The sequence below is a fragment of the Homo sapiens genome, chromosome 20, assembly GCF_000001405.40.
Source record: "Homo sapiens chromosome 20, GRCh38.p14 Primary Assembly".
NCBI classification, from domain to species: Eukaryota; Metazoa; Chordata; class Mammalia; order Primates; family Hominidae; genus Homo; species Homo sapiens.
The window spans coordinates 19,104,821-19,115,512 of NC_000020.11; the positions used below are offsets into that span (position 1 = coordinate 19,104,821).

At 41.8% G+C, this 10,692-nt stretch overlaps 1 annotated feature.

Moving 5' to 3' along the window:
• Positions 9,840-9,889: a silencer, noted in NCBI's record as "silent region_12704". NCBI's record gives its function as "represses an Ori minimal core promoter by ATAC-STARR-seq in GM12878 lymphoblastoid cells {active_cell/tissue: GM12878}" and the evidence as "EXISTENCE:reporter gene assay evidence [ECO:0000049][PMID:35858748]".

Below are 10,692 nucleotides of genomic sequence, written 5' to 3' on the forward strand. Positions count from 1 at the left end.
GCAAACGCTGCAAAACAGGTATTGGTTTATTGTTTTGTGGATTGGCTAGACATAAGAAAATGTCAATAAAGCACATCAAACGTACAAGTCTGCCATGTCTGTATTTGTTACATTGTAAATAACACAAAACTTAAAGAAATATATTCCCAATATTTTAAAACTATGATTCCATTGAGCAAAGAAATCCCTCAGTGATGAACAAATGGATATGCCAATATACAGCTTTGTGTCACTTTTGTCTCACTTGTTGATGCAAACAAAAATACCAACCAACATTCATGAGGGAAGTATACTCATTTGTCAATTGCAATCACAGTTTGGCTACAAGAGTTAGAGAAAAATCAATGAAAGCAACTTTCACTTTCAGCCAAGATGAACTAGATTTACCCTGCCACCTGAAACAATGAAAAAAAAAAAAGATAGAATATGAAAACTAGCTCTCAAGGCATTGGACACCAGGAAAGACTGGAAATAGATAAAGTGAGATCCATTCTTACCCCAGCTTACTGCCTGGAGAAAGTTTCAAGGCAGCAAAACAGAGGAGGAGGTCACTTTGAAGAATGGGGGATGACTGGAAAGTTGGGAGACAGACGGAGAGTCCGGTTAGACTCCCAGAGTTGAGGAGATGAGGCTGGAAGTCTGGAGAGACCAAAGTGGCCATAGCATCACAGCAGAGTATCAGAGAAGAGACAGCTGCTCAGACGGAACACTTCAGAGCTCTTCAGAAGTCCCCCGTATTCAGCTGAGTACTCATCAGCATGATAGCTGTGCATTACCTGCTCTTTACCCACCTCCATCAGGTTAAAGCCTGCAGGGTTGTGCATAAATAATTGTTACAGATCAGATTTACGCATCAGTAGGCACCGCTTTAAATTAATTCACCTGGACAATGAAAGAGCGAGAGTTGATTTATTCACAGCACGTCGGGGATGAAGCATTATTAAGGAGGGGAGATAGAATGGCATGCAATGCTTTGCAATGTACCAACAGCTAATGGAACTCTGCAAGTGGCTGTATACATACAGATGCAGGTGTCAGCCTGGGCCAGGCAGCTGGAGCTACAGTTGCTATGTCCTCGGGATTCAGAGTCATGGGCAAGCTGGAGGGAATTATTATTTCTTCATGGTATAATTTTTTAAAAGCATGTATTGATATGTGTGGTGATGAAGTTATTGTGCTATTACCAGGCTGGATGGCGGGGTGGGGTGGACAGGAATGGACACCACCACTTGGGTTGGGAACACAGACTTCCAGGGCAGCAGCATGAGCACGGGAGGGAGAAAGTTAACTTTTCTCATTTACCCAGAGTATCACTCTGGGTGCCTGGATGCTAGAAATTGTGCTTATATAATGCCTCTATATGCCAGTCATCAAACTTGCATATAAAGCCACAGAGGTACACAGGATGGGCCTGGGTGTTCCAATGTGGAGAAAATCCTCATCCTACTGGTACTGCTACTAAAATTACCTTTCACTTGGGACTATGTGTCAACTGTGCCACATGCTTTTACACACATCATCTCACTTAATAGGGGCTGAGGGTTTCCTCAGATGAAAATGCAGGCTCAGTGGTAAAGTTATTTCCCAAGGTCTCCTGAGACCTCCCAGTGATGTTTGGTTTACTCCAAAGCTTGCTTGCATTTTAAACTTTCATATTACAAAATGGTGCTTAAGGAACCACACTATAAAACATTATTGTTCACAGAGTGCTTTATTGTTTAATATGTCATCATCTGATCAATCATTTGCATACTCACAACCACCCTGTTGCGTAGGTGTCTTTGATCCCATTGCACAGGTGAGGAAACTGAGCTTTGGGTTGGTTGTGCCTCTTGCACATTTGGGGGCACCTGCGATGTGGCAGAGCCAGAATCAAAACACTGGTGCTTTACCCCAAATCCTAATCTCTTCCCATTCTACCTTAACGAGAAGAGAGTTCTGAAGAGCTTCTCAGTGTGCTAGAATATATGAAAGATTGGATCGAGTTTGGGCTGGTTTACTCAGAAGTTATTTCAAATCCTCTGCAAGTTTCACAGGGCTGCAGCACCTGGATGGTGGTTTAACATGGCACTTCTAAAGGACTCACACATTTAGACCTGGATGATTTTCTCTGGCCTCATGCTTAAGAGCTGGGCCTCCAGATTCAGTGGGTCTGGGCTGCAGTTCTAGCATCACCCCTTATGGGCTTTAGCCATTTACTTAACCTTTATGAGTCTCAGTTTTTCCATCTGTCAATTGGGAATATAATAGAACCCACCTCATCTGGTTATTGTGAGGTTTAACATGAGATGACCCATGAGATCAAAGTTTTTGTGTAGTCACTATTGTCAAGACTGTTGTTTTGCAGCATGCTCAGGCTTCAGCAGACTCTGGGGCCAGAGGGCCCCCAGGCAGAGTCACCTGCTCAGGCAGAGTCACCTGCTGCTGTTAGGTGTGCATGAACATGGGGAATGCTGAGGGGAAGCAGCTGGGGTGCCTGCAGCGGCAGCATCTTCTGCACTGCATCAGATTTTGTGGGGGATGGGGGCGTATTCTAAGAGATGTGTGAATACCACTAAGAATTCTAAAAAGTTCTGGAGAGGGAAAATCTGGAGAAAGGTTAGATTTTCTGCAGAGCTAGCAAGCATGGGCCTGAAGTCATTGTAACATGGGGCATTAACACCAATGCATCCTAACCATACTCATGGAGGTTTGATCCTGCAACAAGTGGATGGCCATCCATGAGGTTGTGCTGTGTACAGAGGAGGGGCGCTCCCCTCTCTTGGTCCACATAATGCCATAGATGTTCTCCACACTGGTCAATACCCTCTGCATTTCTTCTTCCTCTGCCACTCTCTCACCCGAGCACACCAGGCTTCATTATTGTAAGGAGTGAGATGATTCCATTAACATTTATGTAGAGAAGTTTGCAGCTCTGAGATGTTTAAAAACCTGAGTAGGGAATCCCAACTATTTTAACTCAAATATAATAAGGTTTTAGGTATTAAAAATATGATTTCAACACTGTTGATTTTAATTGGCCTCATACACCTACACAAACACTTGGCAGACATTTAGGATCTGCCGTGGAGCACCGTGCATCATCACATAACGCTCTGGGAACTAGGGTCCCTGAGTCCTGATTGTGGTGATGCTTCATTCCCTGGGTATCCTTGGGAAGAACACATTTCTAAATTTAGGCCTCTGAACCTAGTTACAAGGAGGGGCTTGGGAGCACCTGTTGTTCAATGCCCATATCTTTCTTAATTTTTAAATTTTAAATGTAAATAAATGCAAAATAATTTTTACAATAAGAAGAAAGACAAATGCATGAGATCCTATATGCACCACCCAGATTCAGAATTGGAAAATTACCATTTCCACGGCAGCCCCTGTGGGCCTCCACTCCTTGATGTGATCCCCGGGATCTACTTCCACCCAGAGTTAACTACTGTCTTGGACTTTGTGTTTATTGTGATCTTGCTTTTATTTATAGTTTGCTTACATATGTATGTGTTCCTCATTAGCATGTTCAGTTCTGTTCAGTTTGGTGCCAATGCATCCTAACCATACCCCTGGAGGGCTGACTGTAATAGGTGGAATAGCGTCTATGAGGTCGTGCTGTGTACAGAGGAGGGCCATGCTTTCTAACTTTAACATTTGATTCATACCCTACTTCGAGTCTTATGCTTCGAGTCTTACTTTTCCCCTCAGCATTGGTTTTGAGATTCTCCCATTTTGTTTGAGTGGCCGCAGTTCATTCATTTATGTGGCTGTGTGGTTGTCTGTTGTTGCCAATGCCATCTACCACCTAATGTTATAGATTCTGTTTGTCCAGTCTTTCTTTCTTGATCTTTCTTGCATTTTTTCCTGGATTGCTTTTCTTTGTCTTTTTAAAAATTCCTTCAATTGCTTTGGAAGTTTTGCACTCTATTTCTTCTCATTTTAGTGAGCACCATAGAAATGTTAATTAACATACTTAATGAACTTTAAAATGTCTGAAATTAATCAATATCTTTACTTCTTCTGGAACAACACTAGACTTTAAACATGTTAACCCTGCTTATCCCGTCCTCTCTTAGATGCACTTAATTTCCAGTATTTTAATTCAGTCTTGATTTTTAGTCTTCCAAAATTGGAGATTTGAAAAAAAAACATTATTTCATGCAATGTTTGATTTTATTTACCCACATTTTCATCACATTTGTCCACTATTCCTTTTCATACTCTAGAACTTCCTTCTGGAATCTTCTGTGTAAAGTATACCTTCAGAGTTTCTTTTAGTGAAGGTTTACTACTGTGTGCCTGTGGTCCTGAAAATGTCTTTATTTGGACATTATTCTTGAACAATTGCTTCACTATACATATAATTTTAGGTAGAAGTTTATTTTTTCTAGGCATATGGAAAAGGTTTTTTTTATTATATAGTTGATGATGTGAAGTTAAACTTTAATTTACAGGTGATTTGTCTTTTCTTCCTGAATGGTTTATTTTCTTGTCTATGCCTTTGATGGTTCTGCAGCGCTTTTTTTTTTTTTTTTTGGGACAGAGTCTAGCTCTGTTGCCAGAGGCTGGAGTGCGGTGGTGTGATCTCAGCTCACTGCAACCCCCGCCTCCTGGGTTCAAGCGATTCTCCTGCCTCAGCCTCCCGAGTAGCTAGGATTACAGGCACACACTGCCACGCCAAGCTAATTTTTGTATTTTTAGTAGAGATGGGGTTTCACCATGTTGGCCAGGATGGTCTTGATCTCCTGACCTCATGATCCACCCATCTTGGCCTCCCAAAGTGCAGGGATTACAGGCGTGAGCCACCACGCCCGGCCATTGATTTTCTTGTTATTAATGCTGCTTGGAATTTATTCTCCATTCTTGGTTTTCTTCATGGATTCTGGAAATGTTCCATTATGTCTTCCCTGTCCTCCCGCAGCAGGTCCGAGACTAAGCTGTCATGGCTGAGACTATGAGCACTTGTTTTGGGCACAGAATTGAGGAGTGGCCAAAAAACTCAGTAATTGAGATAAATCATATTTTAATACAGTATTTTAAATATTTGTTAAAACAAAATCTAATGCAAAGAAACTTGTGGCCAACAAAATATCAAAATTTTCAATAAAGACAGGATCTGGCAGTGCCATGTTGAGATATTTGGAGCCTGAAGCAAAAGGAAAATCTGCACTCCTATGATTTTTTTTTCCTAGAACATTAGTATTTTTCTAGAACATTAAAGTACTTGAAAACTATAAAAAATTGAAAGTAAGTGTATTAAAACTTGACATTATTTTAAGTTTAAATGTTTCATTTATACCAAGGTCAGAATTTATCATGTTTACTTTTCTAGTTCTAACAGAAGCAAACTCATCAAAAATATTTGCATTAAGACCATTAACCATTAAAAATACATAAAAGTCTGTATATGGGTGCAGATTTTTCCTTTCCAGATTGTATTTTCTCTCCTCAGTGTTATTTTCCATTGCAGAAGCTTACATTTTAAAATAGTAGTGATGATGGTGATGAAGATGAAGCATAGTTAGATTTGTCTAAATCTCTTCCGCTGGTTACAGGCAGAGTTAGGCCTAGAATTCTGATCCTTCCTTCTTAGAAGAGCTTTTTCCAATTATATCTCACTTACTGAAACCAATATTCTCATCTCATGACCAAAATCTCTGTAGGAGGTGAGGCCACATCAGCACCCTTGGGCCAGGCAACTGTTGGAGGAGTGACATGCCCACCAGGGTGAATGAGCTATTTTTGGGTGTTTAACTGCTGAGGAGGGATATGACATGTGGGCACTGTGTTTACATCAAGTCACTGGTTCTCGGACCTATCAAGGGGCATGGCACTAGGAAACTGTACCAGTCTTCGTGGCTCACTATAACATGTTGAACTATTACTTTACCCTTTGGTGCTGAATCCAATGCCATCTTAGATTCTAGTTTAAATGAACATGACATATATCACACATTTAAGAAACATTTCTAAGAGAAAACCCTAAAATTGAGACAATCCTACTCATTAACTTACTCTTTTTTCTATGAGTCCTATTATTTTCTTTTAGTAGCTGAATGCCTAGTCTAACTGGAGTTCCCCGGAGGCCTTGCTTGAAATTGACTGCCAGGTATCTCCTTCAGCGTAACTCTTTGATGAGAAGCAAAGCTGCTTTGCTGGCTGCTTGAGTGGAAATGTGATCCCCGATGCTTATGTTCCCATAAAAATCTTTCGTGTGGTCTCAGAATAACAACTCTCTATTATGTCTCAGCTGCCAAATTTATTGGTGTGTGTGGGGAGGGGGGAGGGGGACAGTCAACTTTGCACAGATTATCTTCAATACCCCCTGTTTTAAGACTTTAGGGATGTTTATACAAAACAGTCAACTATTAGCCTTCTTGGCACTTGGTTCTGTGGGAATATTCCTCCCATATTGGGAAGGCGTGTGAACCATGGCTTACATGAAATCCTCAGCCGTATCTTTTGTGGCTGATGTATGCACCACAGAGGACTAGAAACTGCTTGAGTTAGGAAGTGGCCCACCATTTTACTACCCACTTGGAAGGAAAGCTCCACCAACTCCACCAGACCAAGGATAATACTTTATCTTTTATTTTATCCTTGTGAGATTAATGGTTTATGAGATACTTTGTATGCGTTAGGAATTCAGAAGCCAGTGGGTGGGGAGAGAGGAAGGTATTACTACACAGAAGGAAAGCACCGTCTCTGGACACAGGGCCAAGTTTCAGAGAAACTATTGTGAGTTTTTGTCAAGTTGACCCCTCCTACTGCTTCTGGATCTTCCAAATAAGCTCCCACAGTCTAAGATTTTATATTGCTGGCTACGAATATGCAAACGAACTTCCCTTCATCTTTTTTGCCTTACTAAGAAAAGAAACACAAGTTTCAGGTAGCAGTTGCTTTAGATAATTTCTAGACTGCGATCCCTTGAAAAGTTAATCTGTAGCTCCTAGTGTGAAGGTGATTGGGAGAATTTACCAGTGATATGTGCTCTAAATGATTGTAATTCATATCCAGGTGTCCTCAATTAGTTCTTCAAGCAAGATGATAGGATGCTAAGGGATGTTGTTCACCCCAACATTGAAAACAGGTCCACTTGGATTTCTTAGTCTACCTTACCTAGTGCTTGCCAGGTCTAGAACTGGGTTGCCTAATTAAAATATTACATTGAAAAAAGTCTAGATATGTCTTCTCTGATACTGTTGTCACTAGCCACACGTAGCTATTTAAATTTAAGTATAATTCAACATTCAGTTCCTGAGTAGCACTAGCCACTTTTTAAGTCCTCGGTAGTCACCTGTGGCCAGTGCCTACCACATTGGACAGCGCAGATATGGAACATGCCATCATAACATAAAGTTCAATTGGGCAGTGCTTGTCTCTGGATGGAGCACATAGCATTTCTGCCTGTTTCAGGCAGTGGAAGCAATATTCCTGAAGTTCTGATTTTCCAGCCTCTGGCTCTTACAAAGTTGTTACTGTATCCTCATTTAACAAACTTATGATAATAACTTTATATATAATATGTTCTTTTACAAAGTAGTTATTATATCTCTTATTCCTTCTACGTCTGCCACCCAAAGTTACCTGAAGATCTGCTGCAACTTTGGCATTTATACTGCTTTGGTGAAAATCATAACTTTAGCATCTCTGAGATTTTTCTTTTTTATGGAATATATCCTACAGCTAGTTTAGATAATGTTGGATGACTCTCCAAGTCCCTGTGTTTGGTTTTTCTAAATAGTTGCAGTGAGTCCTGCCAGTTGGCAGAGGAACGTCCAGGGCTGGCACTAGGTGCCAAGCAGGTGCTGTGGTCCTCAGCTGTGTTGCACATGAGGTGATGGGGAAAGGAGCGCCATTGCCTGGGAGCTCCTCTGGTGATACAGATAGCTGAGTTCAGGCCTGGTTTCCTGAAGTCACTAGATGGCTGTTATTGTATAGATTGATTAAAATAAGGGGCAGAGACTTCTGAAAATTATCTTGTGGTAGTTTTGCAAAAGGGCTACAAAATTAATTGCCACTCCTCCCATTGAGAGATGGGGATCTATGTTTCCTGCCCTTGAATCTCAGTAGGCTCCTGGGTGAGTTTTCTTTCTATTGCTGTGAAACAAATTACCATCAACTCAGCAACTTAAAACAATACCCATTTGGTAGGTCTTACGTCTGTAAGTCTGAAGTCCAGCACTGCCTGGCTAGATTTTCTGTTCAGGGTGTATCACAGGGCTAAAATCAAGATGTTGGCCAGAAAGAATTCTTGTCTGAAGGCTCTGGGGAGAAATCTGCTTCCAAGAAATCCAATCAGTTTGGATTTCTGAACTGTATTCAGGCTTTCGTAGAATTCAGTTCCTTGTGGTTGCAGCAATGGGGTTTCTGTCTCCTTACTGGCTGTGAGCTGGGGACCTCTCTCAGATACCAAAGACCACAGCATTCTTTTTTTCATGTGGCTTCATCCGTCTTCAAGCCAGCAATTGTGCATTGAATCTCCCTTGTTCTTCACATTTCCATGACTACCTCTTTTTCCATCAGCGAGAGAAGGCTCTCTGCTTTGAAGGACCCATGTGATTAGATCATGCTCACCTGGATAATCTTCTGATCTAAAGGTCACTTGTGCTATAGAACAGCACAGAATCATGGACACTCACAGGTTCTATGGATTACAGTGGAGAACCTTGGGGTGGTGCTTTAGAAACTACGCCACAGGTTGTGACAGTTTGATAGAATATGGTAGGAATGACTCTGCAGATTCTTAGGCTGGGTCATAACAGGTGACACATGTTTGTGCACTGGGATGAACGCTACTGCTTGGAGCCCCACCACGCCATAGAAGAAGTCAACTACTCTGAGGCCACTACGCTGTGAGGAAGCCCAGATATACGTAGCAGCCACAGACAGGCACTCTGGTTGTCAGTCCTACACCCTGAGCCAGCCCTGACCAGGCTCCAGACCTGGGAGTGAACTGGCCTTATTTGATTCTAGCCCCAGCTGTGGGGTTACTCCCAGTCTGCAAGTCTTCCAGTTGAAGGCCCAGCCACAGAATGGGAAACAAGCCATTCCCACTGTGCCTTCCCTGTTCAAATTCCCAACTCATGAACTGGAGAATATAATAATATGATTGTCTAGGCCTCTACATTTGGAGGTAATCTGTTATGCAGCAATAGTAACTGGGACAAATTTGACGGTAAAAAAGAATGAATATTTTCTCACTGATATTTTTTGAAGGTCTCAGGTAAAGGTGGGATGGTGGGGCCTGCAAACCACCCCTGCCCACGAGGAGTTCTAATAGGTGATGACAAACACCAGGAACCAAATTAATTCTAAAAACATTTATTATTTATGTGTACCCTGTGCAAAATACTAGGCTGAATGCTGGGGACATGGGTGCCTAATAAGGGGTAACATCTCTCCTTTCATGGAGCTTAGAGGCTAAGAAGAGTGAATTCCAAACATGTTCATATGCAAAATAATTTTAGATAAAGATAACTCTTAAGAGGAAAATAAAACAGGGCATTGAGTTGGAGCCCGGTGGTGGTGGAAGAGAGGCCACTCTTGACTGGTGCCAAATGAGTCCTGTCTAAAGAGGTAGCAGCTGAAATCTGAATTACAGTCAGTTCTGCTCTCATGCTTGTTTTGAAAGTGTGAATTTGTTCCAAGGAGATTGCTATGTTAGGAAACAAGTTTTGCATTTGCTTATGCATGATTTCATCTGTAAAAACACTAGGTAAACAGAAAACTGCACCCAGCTGAACTGAGCTGTTTAGGAATACACAAAAGACACATGCAGGGCCTCAAACATCTACCCGTGACCTCAGCTCACCACAAGTGTTATGAGACACACCTATGCCTCTAGTGACACAGCTTTTGCCTAACTTCACATCGCTTCCTCCTGTTGCATTCATAATAATTCACAGCTGCAACCCCTCAGATGTCCACTTCCACAAGCAAGTTTAAGGCCTTTTTCAAGGCCAAGTGACACATTTATCATCATATCTATCTATTTCTTATCCATTCACCTGAATAAAATACTGCTACCATTTTTATTAGGTTCCCATCTTTTTTTTTTTTAATGTGTCACATACGTTTTTGAATGCTGGGCCCCTACCCCCATTTTCCTCATGAGCCCTGTCGTTTTTAATTGCATGATTTTGCATAGCATGGTGATTTTTAGAAACAGGTAGCTTGTGTTATACAACGGACTGTGCAAGATCCCGTGAAGATCTTGGAACAACGAGTGCACCATCTCAGAGGCAGAAATGAGCTCCATGTGTGATATGGTTTGGTTCTGTGTCCCCATCCAAATCTCATCTTGAATTGTAATAAGCTAAGATTATTACCTTGACACGGTCTCCCTTTGTCAAGGGCCAGGTGGAGATAATTGAGTCATAGGGGCGGTTCCCCCATACTGTTCTCGTGATAGTGAATGAGTTCTCATGAGACATGATGGTTTTATAAGCATCTGGGATTTACCCTGCTGGTACATTCTCTCTTGTCTGCTGTGATGTGAGACATGCCCTCCGCCTTCTACCTTCTGCCTCCTGTTTTCCAACTTCTGCCTTCCGCCTTCCATGATTGTGAGGCCTCCCCAGCCATGTGGAACTGTGAGTCTATTAAACCTCTTTTTCTTTTGAATCTCAGGTATGTCTTTATCAGCAGCATGAAAACAGACTAAAATAATGTGTCTGAGGAACTGTGTGGCCAACTGAACATGGC